The sequence below is a fragment of the Homo sapiens genome, chromosome 11 (assembly GCF_000001405.40).
Source record: "Homo sapiens chromosome 11, GRCh38.p14 Primary Assembly".
Taxonomy (NCBI): Eukaryota; Metazoa; Chordata; class Mammalia; order Primates; family Hominidae; genus Homo; species Homo sapiens.
The window spans coordinates 9811426-9833051 of record NC_000011.10 but is presented as its reverse complement, the minus strand read 5'-3'; the positions used below and the strand labels follow the sequence as shown (position 1 = coordinate 9833051).

The 21626-nt window shown below is 39.6% G+C and overlaps 2 protein-coding genes across 9 annotated transcripts in view; one reads left to right on the top strand and one right to left on the bottom strand.

Annotated features, from left to right (window-relative positions):
- The window catches only part of SBF2 (SET binding factor 2), a 526174-nt gene that overhangs the window by 471790 nt on the left and 32758 nt on the right, over nt 1-21626 (top strand). For 4 of the 8 annotated variants that reach the window (NM_001425070.1, NM_001424318.1, NM_001386342.1 and 1 more), the window contains 4 exons: nt 632-828; nt 3556-3696; nt 16028-16212; nt 20344-20520. In NM_001425070.1, coding sequence (NP_001411999.1) covers nt 632-828; nt 3556-3696; nt 16028-16212; nt 20344-20520 — 700 coding nt within the window. Of the gene's footprint in view, nt 1-631; nt 829-3555; nt 3697-4419; nt 4722-4830; nt 4927-16027; nt 16213-20343; nt 20521-21626 lie in introns of those variants that run through there. The other 4 variants (NM_001386339.1, XM_047427657.1, NM_001425069.1 and 1 more) reach the window with 3 other exon arrangements.
- On the bottom strand, nt 13078-15055 carry LOC124902802 (protein GVQW1-like; the record flags this gene model as incomplete). Its single annotated transcript, XM_047428003.1, has 2 exons — nt 13078-13149; nt 14855-15055. Coding segments are annotated over 2 exons (273 nt in total), but the record flags the coding sequence as incomplete, so codon positions are not given.

Sequence of the window (21626 nt, the reverse complement as noted above, 5' to 3'; positions counted from 1 at the left end):
TTACAATTTGACTTGTCATTCTCATAAAGTTGACATTAATCTGGTAATCTTACGATCTTTATTTCAAGTTGTGGAAAAGTAATGTATAAGGCAAGGGAAATAGTTCAACAGAGGCCTTTTAAAGAATTCTACATAATATTTTTATTTTCTAAGTTTATTCAACAGAAGTCTGCAATATCAGTGAATGGGGCTCTTTTCAAAAAAGACTACAGATCAGTGGATGAGTTAGCTATTTTCACCATCTAGGGATTTTCTTCTCAATCCCTGAAGAATTCAGAAGTTGAAACTAAGTTCCATATTTGAAATATGTTGGCCAGGCACAATGGCTCACGCCCATAATCCCAGCACTTTGGGAGGCTGAGGAAGGAGGATCGCTTGAGCCCAAAAATTTGAAACCAGCCTGTACAACAAAGTGAGACCCTGTCTCTACAAAAATAAAAATAAAATTAAAAAAGAAAATAAATATATCTTACCCTTCAACTAATATGTTTCTGAATCTTAGAAAATTACTATGATATTAGTATTCAATTTCTTATATTCTCTGTCTCCCTCTTCTCTCATTTCCTTTCCCCTTTTCTTCCCCTCTGTTCCTTCCCCCAATCATTCTCTTCTCTATTCTATGTCTCTGAAGCTATCCTGGCCTTTTAGTCGTACCTCAAGCTGTACAGGACAGTAGTTTACCAAGAGTAGCTCGCTGCTATCGACACAATCGCCTGCCTGTTGTATGTTGGAAGAACTCAAGAAGTGGTACTCTGCTCCTCCGATCTGGAGGATTCCATGGGAAGGGAGTCGTTGGTCTTTTCAAATCTCAGAACTCCCCTCAGGCCGGTAAGCATCTCTCTATAACACAATTACCACCCGTTCACATAAGGACAGTGCTAAAAATAAAGGAAGTAAAATCTGGGAATGGTGCCTTTTCATCAAGTCTTGTCTCACACACAAACTTTTCCACTTTGCTACATGCAACATGTACAGCTTAAACAAGAACTATACTTGATAGTGTGAGGCTCCACATTGAATTTGACATCTTAATATGTCTGGTCTGTACTTGGATTTTAATAGAAATTAATATAATAAAGTCTTTGGTCCTAGGCAATTTTCATTCCAGCAAACCAGAGTATTCACAGATGGAAACTAGGTTATACCAATCTTTTTTCTTTCTCCTGGGAAGCATCCAAATACATTTAACAGCTTCAGAGGTAAGATGAGCTTCTGTGCCATGTGATATGAGATATCCATCCTCACTCTTACAAGTCATACGCACACACAAGACAGCAAACTAATGACTGCAAATGCTGCTTCAGGATCTTTCAAGCAAAGAGGTTTTTAGGAAGCTAGCGAAATAATAAGTACAGCTGTCCCATATTCTGAGGATACTTGTGAGTACCATGTCTGAGGTCTTGAAGTCAGGAGCTGTATTTTGCTGACCTTTCTCATAGCTTCTGCCTCATAATAGATGCTCAAAAAAAATGAAACAGTAGGCCACTAAGATATCAGATCCGATTTAGGGATGGCTGCATTCTTCCACCTTTGGAAATGAAGTAAACTCAGAATCTGTGATTCACCAGGTACAACCATGTGCTTTTTGAAAGTCAGCCAATGTTTTGATCATTAGGTTGACTGAGGGCAGCCTTCCACCTGCCTTGAAGTCTCACTACTGGTGTAATTGAAGGCAATTGGCTGTTTACTATTTCTCCTCTGAAACACTGTGTGCTCCCAAGCCACCTGGTGGGTATGTTAGAACATAAGAAGGGGCCAGGTGCAATGGCTCATGCCTGTAGTCCCAGCTACTTGGAAGGCCAAGGTGGGAGGATTGCTTGCGCCCAGGAGTTCAAGACCAGCCTGGGCAACATGGCAAAACCCCATATCTACAAAAAAATACAAAAATTAGCCAGGCGTGGTGGCACGTGCCTGAGTCCCAGCTATTCAGGAGGCTGAGGTGGGAGAATCACTTGAGCCCATGAGGTAAAGGCTATAGTGAGCCACGATTGCACCACTGCACTCCACCCTGAGTGAAAGAATAAGACCCTGTCTCAAAAAAAATGAAATAAAATAATAGTAAAATAGAACACAAGCATATATGTTATGTAAAATGAGTGAATGATTTTGGGAGCACCGATAAGCGTATCACTAAGCTTTTAGTTGGAAAACAATTGAAACTTATTCCACTGGTTGCTGATTTTTTTAAATCTAATTTAAATTTACTATATTTCATATTCAACTTCCACATTTACTCACAACTAATATCTTTAGGGTTTTTTTGTTTTTTGTTTTTTGTTTTGTTTTGTTTTTGTTTTTTTTTTTTTGTTTTTGAGCTGGAGTCTTGCTCTGTCGCTCAGGCTGGAGTGCAATGGCGCAATCTTGGCTCACTGCAACCTCCGCCTCCAAGGTTCAAGCGATTCTCCTGCCTCAGCCTCCCGAGTAGCTGGGATTACAGGCGCCCGCCACTACACCCAGCTAATTTTTGTATTTTTAGTAGAGATGGGGTTTCACCATGTTAGTCAGGCTGGTCTCGAACTCCTGACCTCAGGTGATCTGCCTGCCTCAGCCTTCCTAAGTGCTGGGATTACAGACGTGAACCACTGCGCCTGGCTGACAACTAGTATCTTTGAAATTGCAATGCATCTTACAATTGATGTGATCAGAAAGAATAGTGTCATAGTTTAAATGGCAGTTTTTTAATTGATAAGCAGTTTTTATTGTTAGGCAATAAAATAACAGTGCGTCTTAGAATTGATGACATATTAAAGTTGATAAAATACAATAATGCTAATTATTTATTTTCTATTCAAGTTGTAAGAAAATTTATGAATATCTGTTGTCCTTGTAGTGAGTCCATCCCCTGTCCTCTTTAAACTGTCTGGGCCGATTTCAGTGATTCTGTTTTGCTTCACCCAAACCAGGCTTATATGCCCATCAACCCAGAATTGCTCTCACAATTGTGTATACTTTTTGCTCCTCATTTAGAAGGACCAGGGATTGGCAGTAGTTGCTCCTATCTTCTCCCCATCTTCTTCCACTCTTCCCTCTACAAATCTTTATAGGCTCATGTCCCCTGGTGGGCCTGTGTGGCAGAATTGAAATAAAGTTGCTGGTATTGGAAAGTTCTTAACTCTACCCATTCTGGGATGTCAAAGGAACCCACTCCCAAGCAATAACCTGGTCAGGATGGTTGGGGGATATCATCAAGGCGTTGTTGTTCATGAATCTTCATTTTGAGTTGCTTGGATAATGAGAAGCTATGCCCTGTGCTTTCAAGCCCAATCTGTGCTTGGAAGGGTAGCCCTGTGCTGGTTTTCCAGACCTGGGCTCTTTCTGGAAGCATAATGAGGCAATCAAGAAGTAGGTGTGGTAAAACCAGCATTACAGTGGAGGATTAGCCATTTAATAGACTGGCAATTTAAGTGGGGCTGGTTTCTATATTTGGGTGTGGTAACTTGTAGACTATATAGAGAAAAATAAGCATAGATAGATAGGTAGATAGATAGATAGATAGATACTTGTTTTGTTAACACAGAGACAGTTTATTTTATTCAATATATTTTCCTTTTATAGCTCCTACCTCCTCTTTAGAATCTTCCAGTAGCATAGAACAAGAGAAATACTTGCAAGCCTTACTGAATGCTGTTTCTGTCCATCAGAAACTCAGAGGCAACAGCACTCTTACTGTCAGGCCAGCCTTTGCTCTATCTCCAGGTAAGATTTGATAATACTTTTCTTCTTGACAGCTTCTAATGAAAGGTCAGTTCTGTTCCTAGGGTTATTTGTACTGTTATTTGTTATTTGTACTGTTCCTTCACCAAGACTTCTTAAAAGTTTTACCCTGAAGGGTTATAAGTTTAACTCCTTTTACTTAGAAATCTACCACTATTAATGTCTAGTAAATAGTAACTTAACTTAGAGATTCAGTTTTTTCTTTTTTGTTTTATTTTCTTTTTTTTAAGAGATGGGGTCTCACTGTGTTGCCCAGTCTGGTCTCGAACTTCTGGGCTCAAGCAGTCTTCCCGCCTCAGCCTCCCAAAGTACTGAGATTACAGGTGTGAGGTGTGAGCTCAGTTATTTCCTTTTCAAAAGAGTAATTGGAGAGGAAGTGGGGAATATAAATAAAGTCACCCTTTATTCCCATATTTATCATACCCAGCTCAGTTATTTCCTTTTCAAAAGAGTAATTGGAGAGGAAGTGGGAAATATAAATAAAGTCACCCTTTATTCCCATATTTATCTTTCATAGACTTTAAAATATTCTTATGACATGGAATATGTAAGTGGAACATGTTTGTTAAATGTGTATTTATTAAAATCATCATTTATAAGTTTGAAATTCCCAAAATATCTGCAGCCTATTATGATTTTCAGTACAATTTGTTTTCACTGGATTTGGATGAAGCCATTAAGACTTGTACTAATATTCTGTTTCAGTTATCATGTGATGGAACCCCAAAGGGTTCATGTAGAGGTAACCCTAATGTGTTAGACACAGGAGCATGTGACTTGAGAAGTTGGTCTCTTTGGCTTAATCAGCTATTTGAATTAGCTCAACATAAGCAGAAAGTGGCTTTTCTTGTAAAATAACACCATGCATGCCTTGCTCCATTTATCATTAAATTCTCTGATTGCACTTGCCAAACCTAACTCTCTATAATCTTGCAAATGTGTGTTATCTCTGATTAATAATAACATTGCCTTGTTATCTCTAATAAAGCTTTGGGTACTTAAAAGTACAATGTTTGGCAGCAGTTAAACATGCTACACCTGAAGATAACTTTTTGTCATTTGAGTAATGTTAACCCAAACAACATGGTTTTTGTTCTTCTTTTTGGCTGACTTTAGGGACTGAAAGGAGGACTTCAAGAATGTCCACTGTGCTTAAGCAGGTAGTGCCAGGACATTTGGATGTAAACCCATCCAATAGCTTTGCTCAAGGAGGTTAGTAAGATTGATTTTATAACTGAGCACTGATGCAAGCTTAAAAGCAGAAAGCATTTTTCTAGATAGTTGATATTTTAAATCAATTAATTATGATTCAAATTGTTCTTAATTACCCTCTTCTGAATGAATGGTCAAATGTATTACTAGCATGATGACAGATGAGCTTAGCCTTGTGGGACAAGAAGTATAATAATTGCTGATGTCATATATATTGATAAGTTTGGGAGCATTAAGAGGTAAGGGGAGCATGTCTAAATGATGAGTCAGCCCTGGGAGTACTCCCTGATACTCCAGATTTGCAGGGCAGAAAGACCAATCTATCACAGAAGTATAGATAGTTAAGGAGAAGTGATTCCAGATCGAAGGAACTCCAAGTCCTGTTATTTTTGCTCCTGTCCTCTGAAATACTGGTTTGGAGGATAAGACATCATGATATCCAGGTAGCTGCTGACATGAGGAAATAGAGAAAGGCTAAGTATTCATTCTTTTAAGCTCCAAAAGGTCATCCACTTTGTTCTCTGGAAGTTTATGTGAGATTCTTTTCACTCTGCAGAGGAAATTCCAGACCAGATTCTTTTTTTTTTTTTTTTAAGACAGAGTCTTACTTTGTTGCCCAGGCTGGAGTGCAGTGGAACTGTCATAGCTAACTAACTGCAGCCTCCAACTCCTGGGCTTGAGCAATCCTCCTGCCTCAAGCTCCCAAGGAGCTAAGACTACAGGTGTGTGCCACCACTCCCAGCTAAATTTTTAAAATATTTTTTGGGACAGAGTCTTACTATGTTGCCCAGGCTGGTCTTGAACTCCTGGCCTGAAGCAGTCCTCCCACCTGGGCTTCCCAAAGTGCTGGGATTACAGGCGTGAGAAAGCACCTGGCCCCAGATATCTCAACTGTGAAGTCCCACTGTCTCACAATGGAGTCACAGAATCTTAGACTCTTCCTCTCACCCCCATATAATGATGAATTCCCTTAAAAAGATACTAAGTAGGCCGGGCACGGTGGCTCACGCCTATAATCCCAGCACTTTGGGAGGCTGAGGCAAGCAGATCACCTGAGGTCAGGAATTCCAGACCAGCCTGGCCAACATGGTGAAACCCTGTCTCTACTAAAAATACTAAAATTAGCCAGGCGTGGTGGTGCACACCTGTAGTCTCAGCTACTCAGGAGGCTGAGACAGGAGAATCAGTTGAACCCGGGAGGCAGAGGTTGCATAGACCGGGAGGCAGAGGTTGCATAGAGCCAAGATCGCACCATTGCTGGGCAACAAGAGCAAAATGAGCCGAGATCACTCCAGCCTGGGCAACAAGAGCAAAACTCCATCTCAAAAAATAAACAAAAGTGTGTGTGTATATATATACATACACACACACACATACACACACACACACACACATATATATATATATATATACACACCACACACTAAGTAAGTAATCTTGTTTCTGCTTGAACATCATCAGTAATGGGAAACTCATTTCTTCCCCAAAATAATCCCTTACATTTGTGAGCAACTCTATGTGTTGCTTTCTCATATTGACCACCACTTTTACATATTGGCCCTAGCTCTATCCTCTGAGGTTAGAAAGTAAGTGTACTCTCCCACACGTAAAACCCTTCAGGAAAAACTCTTGTCAGGCTTGCTTTCTACAAAATTCACTTTTTACAAAATTCACTTTTTTCCCTTTTGAAAACCATACACATCTTGGTCCTTTGGATACTTTCTTTTCCTGCCTTTAGTTAACTCTGAATATCCCCAGTTGAAATGGTTGTAGTCCACTCACCATCCTTATCACTCTGAACACTCCACAGAATTGAACCCAGCACTCTAGGTGTTCTCACAGCCTAAAACTGCATTAGCTATGGGCAGCCCCATCACTAGGTTAACCCATGTGGAGATTAATATCATTTGAAATCCCTGTCTGCTTCACATGTGCTATTGTTCTTAAAAATACACTGGCCTTGATGGTTGCTTTTTGGACCCACTAGCAGTGTTACAACTAGGAAATTTCATGTTTTGGGGTGTGGACTGGTATTTTAGACCTTTGGACCCTGATTCTGTCTACCAGTGCATTTGCTGTTTTCAAGCCTTTTGTCATCCATACATTTGATCATTGTTCTCATGTGATTCTTCGTTTAAAAAAATGTTGAACAAGCCAGAGCTAAGGACAAAGACCTACAGCAAAATAATATAAACCCCTCTGAAGAAAAAGATCAGTCTGTTCATCTATACTGGTTATGAGTCTTCCCACTAAAACTCACCAGGCCCATATTTCTAAATCTCTGTCAATCGTTTTAATCCACTATTTGCCAGTCTTTCAAACAATTCACTGCATCACCAAGGGTTTTATGGTTATTTTGCTGTGACTTATTATACGAATCAGTGCTTTTTTTTAAAAGTAACTATGAATAGTCCATTGATACTCCATTCCTAGAATTTGGTTCAGAATCAACATAAAGATTCTACTTTACAAAATTCACTTTTTTCCCTTTTGAAAACCGTACACATCTCCTAGTGGTCATACTGGTTTTTTGGATACTTTCTTTTCCTGCCTCGTCAGAACTTTCTGTAATTGCAGGATTTCCTAAGAGCTTTCAACCTCCTTGAGTCATCTTTCCAATGAGTGTGTCAGGCCTTGAAGTCGTTGTATTGGTTTCCTAGGGCTACCGTAACAAAGTGCCACAAATTGGGTGGCTTAAACAACTATTGTCTCACAGTTCTGGAAGCTGGAAGTCCAAGATCAGGGTGTCAGGGAGTTGGTTCCTTCTGAGGGCTGTGAGGAGGAATCTGTTCCATGCCTTTCTCCTAGCTTCTGGAGGTTTGCTGGCCATCTTTGGCATTGCTTGGCTTCTGGAAGCATTACCTAAATCTCTGCCCTCATCTTCACATGGCATTCTCCCTCTGTGTCTGGCTCCAAATTTCTCCTTTTATAAGTACACCAGTCATATTGAATTAGGGGCCCATTCTACTCCAGTATGACCTCATCTTAACTAATGATATATATTCTGAGGCACTGGGGGTTGGGATTTAATATAAATTTTGGGAGGGGGACACATTTCAACCCATTACAGCCATATATATCATTTTTCTGAATTTTTAGAGTACTATTATTTTAAAGTTTAAGATACACGCTTCGTTCTTCTCATCATTTCTTTCTCAGTGAATTTGAACTAAAAGATGGTACAGTGATTTTTTTCCTAAGGTTCCTAGTATTTCAGTTGCTAAGCACTCTTGTCAGAATTTGGTTCGAGATTGCATTTCCCCTTACTGCTTTATTTACCATATGAAAGTTTACATTGTCAGCAAGGAAAGTCAGTAATTTTTCCACTCAACTTTTAGACAGTGCAACTTTCAGCAGATGTCTAGTTAATTGAAACCCTCCCACCCCACAACCTGATCTTGTATTTTGCCATTGTACACGTCACCATGTTATCCATTCCAACATTTGGCCAGGTGGCCTATAATATAAATTGTAGCTGCACAGTTGTCTCCTCCTATTATGTTGGTACTCAAGGTTCATAGATTTTCAACAATCTTTTTCTTTTTTTCTTTTTTTTTTTTTTTTGAGATGGAGTCTCGCTCTGTCACCAGGCTGGAGTGCAGTGGAGCGATCTTGATCTTGGCTCACTGCAACCTCAGACTCCCTGGTTCAAGCAATTCTCCTGCCTCAGCCTCCCGAGTAGCTGGGATTACAGGCACGTGCCACCGTGCCCAGCTAATTTTTGTATTTTTAGTAGAGATGGGGTTTCACCACGTTGGCCAGGATGATCTCGATCTCCTGACCTCGTGATTCACCCACCTCAGCCTCCCAAATTGCTGGGATTACAGGTGTGAGCCACTGCACCCGGCCTTAACAATCTTTTTCAACTACACTATCTTCTTTTTTAACACTGGCCTCCAACTCTTGGCTTCTTTTATACAAGGGAATTCCCAGTAGTGGTTATATTCTTATGACTCCATTCTTTGCTAATCCTAAAGGCACCCAGAAGGCTGTATTTACCTTTTCAGATTAAAATCTCCTATTTAACTTATGACCACTATGTGCATATCTGAGGCTATAAATATTATTTCTGACACCCTTCTCAAATACTTTCTGCTGAAAATTACTGTGAATTTGGCTTGTTTCCTTATGACAGTTTTTTACTCCTAACCAGGTGCTTGTCATTATGGTATCTTAAGCTAAAATCCAGAAACGCAAATCTCATTCTTTTACTCCATCTCTTAACTCTTCACTCCTAAAGCCTCCAAAACCTTGTGAAGTCCCAGTGATAAACTGGACAAAGAGATACTGCTGTTTCCTGACACCTTCAACATTCTCTGTGATCTCTAGAGCTGCTTTCTGTGTTTCTTCTGATAGTGTCATTCCTTCTCAAAGTAGGACGAATGAACTGAGGCAAGCAAGTTAAGGGTCTCAAAAGATTCTCTGTTATGTGAACATACCAGGCAGACACACATTTAGACTGGCCAGGGCAAGACTAGGTATAAACATGCCCATGCCTTGCAAGTAATTCATTTCCTTGTACCGACTCACAGTACAGAGTCTCTTCATTCTTCCAGAGTTAGATACCACTGTGAGAGGAGCCTCCTATCATTTAATTCTTCTTCTTCTTTTTTTTTTTTTTTACCCTAACCCCTAGTTCTTCTTCCTAGCCTTTTTCTTTTTGCTCCCCTATTTTCACAATTTTTTTCATTCTTTTCATTGTCGTACAGTCTTAGTTCCAAGTTTTCTTATGTTATTTCCACTGTGTGTCTCTCCTGGTCTGATGAGCCAGGGTTAAAATTGACCTTCACCTCTTTTTCAGTCAGGGTGATCACTTTGCATTCAGCATGCATGTTGGTGAGTTCCTAATACAAGGGCTGCATCCTTTTTTACCTAAGAATCATTTTAAAAGCAAGAAGTGAATAGATCACATTGTTTTTCATTTAAAATTAAAGTAGCATTTAAGCCCAATGGGGAAACACATATACTTACAACTTGGATAAATTTCTTTGTTGAGTAGAAAAATGCCTTGAGAAAATTAGTACTGCCTCTCAAATACCAAAATATAATAGCTGGGTATATTTGAGAAGTAGCCACTTGGAGGCAGCTTTTTAATTTTTCATCCTTTACATTTTAAGTTTTTCTCCATGTATTATTTTATTCTTGAAATAACCTCCAGGATATGTATTTAAAGAGGCCCAGGGAGATTAAGTGACTTGGCCAAGGCTGCATAGCAAATATTAGTATAACTGGGACTAGAATTAGTTCAGTGTTGCATCGTATCAGTGCAGATATATTTACTGAATACATCTAGTGTCTCATGCACTGGGCCAGGTATAAGATCACAGTGATCAATAAGGCCCCACATGTGACCTAAGCATCTCTTTTCCCTCTCCCCTTTCGTCAGAACAGAGTAGAGGAAATAACACCAGTGCTTAGGAAACACTAGTTCTCTGAACAGTAACGCATTCCTATGGGGAAAATGAACTGTGTCATATCTTCCCTGAAGCAGTCCCCTTAGCCGGTTCTTACTGATTGGGTCCAAGGTCACATGGTTCCTCAGGAAACAATACATTAAGAGTTTAGTGGCCGGGTGCGGTGGCTCACGCCTGTAATCCCAGCACTTTGGGAGGCCGAGGCGGGCGGATCACGTGGTCAGGAGATCGAGACCATCCTGGCTAACACAGTGAAACCCTGTCTCTACTAAAAATACAAAAAATTAGCCGGGCGTGGTGGCGGGCGCCTGTAGTCCCAGCTATGCGGGAGGCTGAGGCAGGAGAATGGCTTGAACCCGGGAGGCGGAGCTTGCAGTGAGCCAGGATCGCGCCACTGCACTCCAGCCTGGGTGACAGAGCGAGACTCCGTCTCAAAAAAAAAAAAAAAAAAAAGAGTTTAGTTACATTCTAATTCAAACCATAGTCCCACTACTTACTGTGTGATTAAGCAAATTAGGAAACCTCTTAATTCTCAGTGTCTTCATCTTTAAAAAATAATATAGACTTTTAAGGTAGTTATGAGGAATAAATTAAATAGTATATGTAAAACATTTAACTTAGTAACTAGCCCATAGTAGCATTTTAATAGATGTTAGTTGTCATTATTATTATAGTTATTGTTATCATTGCCATTGCCTAATACTCTGCTGAAATGGGAAGAAAGTCGACATTTGCATTTAAATTGCTTTGAGCCTTACTGATCTAAGGCAAGAGATAGAAGGCATATGCCCTAGGTTTAGCCAGTGACTTTCAAACTTGTTTGATCATGACTCGCAGTAAGAAATGTATTTTATATTTATATGTATATATACCCATTCATTTTATATCACAATTCAGGTAGTACTAAGGCACATGCAAAATGTATAATGTATACACTAAAACAAAAGTTCTGTGAAACAATATTCATCCGTACCACATGCAGTGCTCATTAGTATTTTCAACTGTAATGTTTAATTTTGAAAAAAATACTGATTTGACCTATTAGAGTGATTTCCCAAGCCACTAAGGAGGATCCTGCAGCTTGGAAAAACACAGCTTGAGACGTTTTGCTGGTGTTAAGTGCCCAGGACATCTAGAAATCATTCAGGAAATCTAAGTAGACCTCACCACCAACAACCAATGCGGTAGTCTAATTCCTTTGGTTAAAATGACTTCCAGATGGGATTAGAATTCTCAAAGCTCCCTGCTGGCCCCATATCAGTACTGGCCATTTTATCATTGCGGATTTTCTACTAATTGGCCAAAACTTGGCAGTTTTTCATTGATGAGCCTCTGTTTGGGGGAGTCCTTAATATTTTTTGTTTAATACCCCCTTTTCACTCTTTCAGTGCAAATAATTGGGTTGAAGATACAATAATGAGTCAGAACAGCTCACAATGTATTGGTTTGCAAAAAGTAAATAATCAACAAATTCTTTGAGTGCCTGTATTTCAGGCTCTCAGCATGGATACGAGAATAAACATGATTAGGTGCCTGCCCTCACAAGCACATGTAAACCAAAAAGTACCTGAGACAGGTCTCAATAAATTCAGAAGTTTATTTTGCCAAGGTTAAGGACTCGCCCTGGAGAAAGGTCTGTGCCTTTCTCCAACAATGATTTTGAGGGCTTTAATATTTAAACGAGAAAGAGGGAGGGTATAGTAATCCACATGTTGCAAGAAAAAAGGAGCAGGTAGGGGAATAGTCAATTATGTATTCATCTGTAAGGTAAAGTGAACATACCAGTAGCTACCTGTGGATAAGTTTAACCTTTTAACTGTAGCTGTTTGTTTAGGAACAAAAGGAAAAGCAGCGTCTTGTTATGTCTCACCTTTCAGCCTAATTTTTTCCTTTTGACGTAGTGAACTGGAGTCCTGAGTTTTTATTTTCCTTTCACACACACAATCTTGTAGAGTGAAAGAATATACAGATAATCGACACAATGTGATCAAAGTTCAAATAGAGCTCCTCAGCTTGGGAGCAGTCAGGAATGCCTTTAAGAGGTGCTAATATTGTATCTGGATCTTAAGGGTTAAGTAGGAATGTGTCAGGTAAGGAAATGGGGGAAATCATTCCAGGCAGTAAGACTAGCATAAGAAAGTGTGATGTGTTAAGGGAACAGTATCTCAGAATCAGGAACTACTCAAGCATCACTGTCATCATCTTAGTGTCCCATATTCAATAGGAAAGTTCAAAATTTTGGCAGAAAGGAGAGCAGTCAGCCAACACAGAGGAGGCCACACAGTGTGCCTTGGCCATGTCCCAAGCCTTCGTTCCATCTTGCAGTCACATTCTCTGTCTGTCATCAGCCAGCACCTCTGCAGCCCTTACTTTCTGGCTTCCTTTGGCCACCAGAGCCATCAGTGCCCTTCATTTTCTGCTTCCAAAGGAGTGAAGTGGGAGTGAAAACTCACTTGTAATGATTTTTGTTATGTCATATGTTATACACTTTTGCATTTTATAACTTAATACTACTATTAAAGATTGTAATCCTGAATAAATATAAAATCATTTCTTCTAATTGACTTGAGCAATTTGTTTGCTTGGAAAGTGCTAAAACTGCTCACAATTTTTGGTTTGCCATCATCATAAACCCCTTTCTGTTGGAAAAAAATATATTACTCAAATTACAAAACTATTATCTCTAATACTGCCTGTCATTTTGGTGCAAGTAGGGATTTTAAGAGAAGTCATTACTTCAGTCATCACAAGCTGTATTATTAGTGATATTGGGTATTGTCACAGGATTATGAATTTTTGCTGCTCGTAACTAATTATGGAAAATAAATATAATTTCCAAATGAAAAGAGAAGAAGGAAGATAGCGTGGCAATGCTTAATGCTCTACTGCAAAAACATGCCCTTAGTTATTCCAAATGGTTGCTAGAGCTTCATTGTTTCCTGGTGTGATGACCTTGCTCAAAGAACAAACGTGTTGTACAACATGCAGCATTCGCCATTCTCCTTCAATATGAGGACCAATGTATTCCTAACATTCACCCATACACACCCCAAATTCCTTAATTTTATTATAAAAATTTGTTTCTGACTGAATGACAATCTTCAAAAGCTTCTTCCATTTGGTATAATTTTTTAGTGGCACCTTCTGCTGTGTGCTGTCCATTTCATTGTGCTTATAGTATTTATAAACAGGTGCTGAAATTTCATTTAACAGGTACTCAATACATCTTTTTTTTGTGACTGTGCAGCTTTTTGTTTGTTAATTAAATCTTCTACTTTTATTATATTTACATTTTTCCCCTGCTAATTTTAAAAATTAAATAGCCTATTCTTCTCTTACTCAATCTGCTCTGACATTTGCTGCTATATACATTTTATTTCTCTTTCTGTCTTTAATCTTACCTACCAGTGCATGGGTACAGAGATAAATGTTTTACTCAGTCAAATCCCAAATCTTCAGCTAAGGGAAGAGTCCATAATCAAGGTACTGTATTATGTGTCCTGATATATCACTCTTTTAAACCATCTTCATGTGAAACTACATATGTTACAAGTAATTTTTTTGCATTTGTAAAATTATATCCTTTATTCTCATCTGCATTCTGAATTTCCTCTGATTCCATTTACAAAAAAATTAATAATTGCCATAATGTCTAAGAAAACCTCGTAAACTACGTAGAAAGATTCATGCAGCCGGGTGTGGTGGCTCGCACCTGTAATCCCAGCACTTTGGGAGGCTGAGGCGGGCGGATCACCTGAGGTCGGGAGTTCAAGACCAGCCTGACCAAGATGGTGAAACCCCATCTCTACTAAAAATACAAAAATTAGCCGGGCGTGGTGGTGTGCACCTGTAATCCCAGCTACTCGGGAGGCTAAGGCAGGAGAATCACTTGAACCCAGGAGGCAGAGGCTGTGGTGAGCCGAGATCACGCCATTGCACTCCAGCCTGGGCAACAAGAGTGAAACTCCATCTCAAAGAAAGATTCGTGCATGTGAAGCTGAAATGACCAATAAAAACTTTTCTTGGGAACTGGTCTCCTGACCCCGTAAATGCTTATAAAGAGAAAGAGAAGCAGATGTGACATCATGGTGACTTCTGGTCACCTAGAAACATGACTTTAATACTAGGAAAAGACTAAAGCTTCTCAAACAGGCTTTCTAGATCTAAAGAAGAAAACCCACTTGAGGGAGGCAGTAGGAAAGTCCTGTATCCCTGTGACCCCATCAATGAGATAAACACCACAGTTCTACAGGCATTTATGAGGGCCTCTTGATTTGAAGGTGATACAGTGCTAGTCAAATTTGAGAATTAGTACATGCCTTTGTGTCTGGATGTTTGATATTTAATAGTCTCACTTGCATATAGAAATCCTTGATTTTTCTAATTAATATAACTAAGGTCATCTTATCTCATTGAGACTCTGCTAGCATTTTAGCTTGCCCTTTCTCTTAGAAGGTATCTGCTTCTGGCTGGGCGTGGTGGCTCATGCCTGTAATCCCAGCACTTTGGGAGGCTGAGGCAGGCAGATCACCTGAGGTCGGGAGTTCGAGACCAGCCTGATCAACATGAAGAAACCCCGTCTCTACTAAAAATACAAAATTAGCCAGGCATGGTGGTGCATGCCTGTAATCCCAGCTACTCAGGAGGCTGAGGCAGGAGAATCGCTTGAACCCAGGAGGTGGAGGTTGTGATGTGCTGAGATCACGCCATTGCACACCAGCCTAGGCAACAAGAGCGAAACTCTGTCTCAAAAAAAATAAAATAAAGATATAGGCTTCTGACTGTACATTTTATTCATTTATTTTATTTTATTTTAGAGACAGTGTCTTACTCTGTTGCCCAGTATGTAGCGCAGTGGCGCTATCTTGGCTCACTGCAACCTCCACCTCCAGCGGTCAAGTGATCCTCCCATTTCAGCCTCCCAATACAGGTGTCTTTTTGTAGTTTTTTTTTTTTTTTTTTTTTTTTTGGTAGAGACGGGGTTTCACCATGTTGCCCAGGCTGGTTTCAAACTCCTGGGCTCAAGCGATCTGCCCACCTTGGCCTCCCAAAGTGCTAGTATTACAGGCATGAGGCACTGTGCCCATTACTAAACTTATAATTCTCATTCTTCATGGATACTGAAAAATATAATATAATCTTGTTTAGAATTACATCGTTTTGGCATGATATACAAATATTAATTCCAAATCCAGCTTCAGATTTTAGTAGACTTATGAAGTTTCTATTTCATATCTTTAAATGTCATGTTAAATTGACCAAATAAGCAGAAGAATGTTCCTTACTTTTTTCATGAAGCCCTGAGAAATTGCATAACTCAGCATTTGCCTTCCTAGACTTTATTAGTACCTCCTGCCAGCATGTTTTGTTTTCAGTATCAATGTACTGTTTCTGCTTAAGATCTTAGTATTTACTTTTAAATCCTGAATTTACATCAAAATATAAAATAGGATTGATTTGGGGGATTTGCTAGGTCATTCTGAGGCTAAGATTGTGTGATTTTGAAATGCTATATTGGATAATGTTTATGTTACAGAAGTAGCAAATGACCATATGACTTACGGTTTTTAGATTAATCAGCTTGCTATGACCTCTAAAACTGTAGCTCCAGAGCATGCACCTTTTTCCTTAGTTAGTGGCATTCCCACATTAGATTATCTCACTCCACGACTTTGGCTTTTGTGAAGGTGTGTGGGCAAGTCTTCGCTCTAGCACTCGCTTGATCAGCTCTCCAACATCCTTCATTGATGTTGGCGCCCGGCTGGCAGGCAAGGATCACTCGGCCTCCTTCAGTAACAGCAGCTACCTACAAAACCAGCTCTTGAAACGGCAAGCAGCCCTTTACATATTTGGTGAAAAGTCGCAACTAAGGGTAAGATTTCTTTTTTCTCACTTAGAAACTTTATGGATACGCTAGGGCTGTTGATAAAACCTGTATCACAAACCAGCTTTGCTAGAATTTTTTTTACAGCATGATTCTTAACCTGGAGTTAATAATCTCAAAAAATTTAGCTCTCCTTTTGTATTTATTTATATATATTAATTTTTATATCAATACATGTATATACATATGCATATTTATTAGCCATGAAAATAAATATTTATTCATAATAGTAAAAAATCAACATAAACATCAGGAAGCGTACATACATACAAAAAAAAGGAATAAGGCTTCATCAGGCTGTGTTTTCAACAGCCTTGATTCAGTTTCCACAGGAATCTGCCCATGGCAAAACAGATAGTTTTGTTATGGTAAACCTAAAGCAGGCTACAGAAACATAGAAGAATGGAGAGAGGAAGACTGTGGTACCATGTATGGAGGCAAGGCAAGGCCAAGTCTAGGTTTTCTGAGTAACACTTGTTAAAACTTCGCAAAGCTATATAGAAAGAGACACATGTCCTAAGATGTGTCAGAAAATTCAAAATACTAGATGCTAATCAACTTTATTCTTACTGTTAAATTGTTGCGCTAAAGAGCTTCACCATGCTGAGGGCCCATAAATTGTAAAGATGGTCTTTTCCTCCAAAAGCAACAACAATTCCTTGAATTTAATGTTTTGCAAGTCACACATTACAAAATAAATTTCATTACTACCAGTAGGTATATAGGACATGAAAGTTATCTGTTAACTCAGAAATCTCAACGTTTAATCCAGTGCTCCAGTTGGCACTGGACAACCTAGACAGACCTCTGGCTGAACCGTGGAGCAGAAACTGTGAGCAGGGTGCCATTAGCAAGATCCCACATGCTTGGCCCTTAAGATGCCAGTAACTGAGTCATCTCTTCTGGAGCAGGCTAGTGGCTTTGCTAGCTCTTCTCCCACTGCCTGGACTGCTGCAACCACTTAGTCACTAACCTTTAGGGTAGAGGGCATAAAACTGCTGGGTAATGCTCAAGTTTTAAATCTGCATATGTGTCTTCTGATACAGTAGATAATTTTATATCCAAAAAATAGAACCCTTTTCTACAGCAATCCAGGGTTGCTGGTGCCAGTGTCTTTTCCAGAGCACAGACTTTCCATGCTTCAGCACAACACTTACTCGTGATCCGAATCACTCTCCGAGGTTTAGCTCCTTAATACTCCCCTCTGCCATTCTCTTTGCACATAATTTCTCAGATTAGCTATGTGATCATACGTATTTGAGTAAGAAAGAGTTGGGATGCTGCCTTTTTCCTTCCCTCTCTTCCTCCTGCCCTCTTTTTCTTTCTGTCTGCCCTTCCTCAATAAAATATTATTATTATATTTTTTTTAAGTTTTTGAGATGGAGTCTCACTCTGTCGCTAGGCTGGAATGCAGTAGCATGATCTCGGCTCACTGCAACCTCCACCTCCCAGGTTCAAGCAATTCTGCCCCAGTCTCCTGAGTAGCTGAGATTACAGGCACGCGTCACCACGCCCAGCTTTTTTTTTTTTTTTTTTTTTTTTTTTTAGTTTTAGTAGAGATGGGGTTTCACCACGTTGGCCATGATGGTCTCCATCTCTTGACCTTGTGATCCACCCGCCCTGGCCTCCCAAAGTGCTGGGATTACAGGCGTGAGCCACTACACCCGGACAAGTATTATTATTTTTAAAAATGTAATCCCACCATTCTGGCACAATAGTTGTCAGCTATTCTATATATTCCATTCAGGTTTTATCTTTTATTCAATTTTGTATGTAGAATATGGCTCTGTATCTGTCTGATATGTGCCACATTCTAGCTTGCACAATGCCATCCAGTTACAATTCCATACCTTTTTCTCCCAACAAAGAAACATGAAAGCCAATAAATTACAGTGACTTATTCTGAAAATAATCTTGAATTTGGCCTTTACCTAGGTAAATTCACATACTTTAATACTTTATTATTAGGAACAAATTCCTTACAACCTAATGGAGTGTCTCAATACTTTGGTTAGTAACTCCTGGTTTATAAGATAAGCATACCTAGCTCATGTATAGTTGGGAAATAGGAATCTACCTTTCCTGAAAAGTAAACTATGTTTTGTCTATTATAAGTTTTTAAAAATAATAGAAAGGAACTCATGTATATCGCTAGGTTATTTATCTGAAGCCTTAACATTATGTTTCCATGTCATATAGTCTTCATAACTATTTTAGTCACTATTCATCCCATGTTGTTGGATGTTTAGGTTTCTTTATCTTCTGTATATAAAATTACAGTCACAATTCCAAGCAAATAAGTTATTTTGTTATTTTTTTTAATTGAGATACCATTCCCTGGGGGTTTTTTCCTATTAGATTATTTCCTTAGAATAGCTTCCTTAAAAATAGAATTATTAAGACAAAGGAAAAATTATAAAATACACATAACAAGATTTACCATCTTAACCATTTCTAAGTGTATGACTCAGTATTATTAAGTACATTTATGTTGCTGTGCAACCAATCTCCAGAAAGCAGTTTTAATCTTAGAAAAGCAGATGGTCCAATAGAGTAATTTGGGCACAATGAAAAGAAAGTGGAAACATTTTGAGAAAATTAATTCATTCTTTGGCATGAAAAGTTAGAGGACTTTTAAATCTTCTTCAGAGCTAGGCAACCAGGTTATTAAAATGAAATATACCAGTAGGCCATCAGTATAGCATTCTTTAATTGCAAATGCAACACTCATACCACACACAAAATAAATTCCATAAGGATTAAAGATGTAAATGAGAAAGTACTCAAATAAATATAGGTTGATACATATATTAAGTGAAAAAATATTATCCCAAAGATAGAAATGAACAAAGCCTTTCGTGGTTTTTTTATGTAATTTTTTTTTTTAAGGTGGAGTCTCACTCTGCTGCCCACGCTGGAGTGCAGTGGTGTCATCTCAGCTCACTGCAACCTCCATCTCCGGGGTTCAAGTGATTCTCCTGCCTCAGCCTCCCGAGTAGCTGCGATTACAGGTGCCTGTCACCACGCCTGGCTACTTTTTGTATTTTTAGTAGAGATGGGATTTCACCGTGTTGGCCAGGCTGGTCTTGAACTCCTGACCTCAGGTAATCTGTCTGCCTCAGCCTTCCAGACTGCTGAGATTACAGTCATGAGCCACCGTGCCCGACCATGTAATTTTTTATTATTGACTTTTAAGAAGTAGGACTGGGCGTGGTGGCTCACGCCTGTAATCTCAGCACTTTGGGAGGCCGAGGTGGGCGGATCACAAGGTCAAAAGATTGAGACCATCCTGGGCAACATGGTGAAAGCCCATCTCTACTAAAAATGCAAAAATTAACTGGGTATGGTGGCGCACGACTGTAGTCCCAGCTACTCGGGAGGCTGAGGCAGGAGAATCGCTTGAACCTGGGAAGCGGAGGTTGCAGTCAGTCAAGATCGCACCATTGCGCTCCAGCCTGGGTGACAGAGCAAGACTCCATCCCAAAAAAACAAAAAAATAACCACAATGTTGGTAGTCTTGGGGCAGTAAGAAAGTGATTTCTATTTCTTTCTCAATATTTATCTCTACCTTTTTTCATTTTTATTATGAATATGTTTTACTTGCATAATAAGAAACAAATATGTGCATATCTACAAACTTTAATACACGTACAGTCTGGAACTCCAACAGTGTGTTACCTATCCCTTACCATATACATCTTGGGAAGACTTAGTTTACACTGTTGGAGTAATCATACTGTCCATGTATCATTAGTTTCTCTTTAAACTTCCAGGTTCATGGCCTTATAATTGACTTATATTTGGTATTATGAGCTCCATCAAGTTCCAGTCTACCAGTAGGCTCTTCCAGTTCTCAGAATGAACGCATTCTTAGGCTAAGTAATCTACCTCTAGTAAGGACTAGATTTGCCATTCTGGGCAAACCACTAGCTTGTACTGAATGGCTGTTCCCACCAACACTGACACATTGCTGTACAAGATTGACTTTCTTGACCCATTGGCAGCCTCTGCAGCTATTTGGCCCCAAATAACTTTGTCATTATGCACTGCCCCATTGGAAACATCACTCTTTTACCTATAGCACTTCATCTGCCTAATTCTCTGAATCTTCATCCGCAGAACTTCAAGGTAGAATTTGCTTTAAATTGTGAGTTTGTTCCTGTTGAATTTCATGAAATCCGGCAAGTGAAAGCCAGTTTTAAGAAGCTGATGAGGGCTTGTATCCCAAGCACCATCCCTACTGACTCAGAAGTGACCTTCCTGAAAGCGCTGGGAGATTCTGAGTGGTTCCCACAGGTAATGTCTGAAGCAGCTTCTTTCTTTATAACTCAAAGAAACAGAGGCCCAAGTAGATATACAGAACTGTATTTGAGAAAAAAAATACTTTGTTCCCCTACTCCCCAACATTCTCCTCCTTCATTGTGTGCCATCAGTAAAGGCCTTTCAGACTAAGGAAATCATCTGGTATAGGAGGTGAGGGAGTAGAAGTCTTGATCGCTGGGTTTTTATCTCTGTGTATTTAAAAGTTTGGTATCTATAGGACACTAAGGAGAAAATTATTTTTAGATGGAAATCTTTGATGTAAATTTAATCAGCATGTATTTACAGGGCTCCTGCTCTGTTGTCAATACAGTAAGGATCCAGGGCAGAGGGCAACTTCTGCATGACTCCCAAGAGCTCTCACCTTTCATTTGTCTGCCTATCCCAGGTCTCTAGATTTTAGATCCACCCCACACTACCCACCAAAGGCACACTGGATGCCCCCAAGCCTACCTAAGGCTTGAAAAAAAAACACAGTGTCTATCATCTTTCAGTTCAGTCAACTTTGGGATATTCTTAATTGAACTTTTATTGAGAAATTAAAGGGCCTTGTCTTTAAGCCCCTTTATTTCTTATATTGCCCAGGCTGGTCTTGAACTCCTGGCCTCAAGTAATCCTCCCACCTTGACCTCCCAAAGAGCTGTGATTACAGGCATGAGCTGCCACGCCTGGCCCCCATTATTTGTTATCACCTTGCAGAAATTCCCAGTCCCCTGCCTCCATCTACCTCCAAGCATCCTGCCTCTTGTTTCCCACAGCACATTGGACTAAAAGGCAAAAAAAAAAAAAGGAAATGATGTCAGTACTCAGGGCTGTGACTGTTCTCAAGATACTTAAACCAAAGAGAAATGCCGCCACATAAATATTTGGCTATAAATGTATCATGCTGTGTTCATTATTATTAAGGCAATTTAGGGTGCTTTGCATACCCGTGGAAGGAACTGGTCGATACTCCCTTCTGTCCCCAGGCTATGAGCCCCAGCTCCAAACGGACCCCTCCACCCAACTTATCTATCCATGTTTCTGATACATTCTGTGCTCTACTCTTTGCTAGAAAGTGGACCTGTACCAAAAGATAGGGA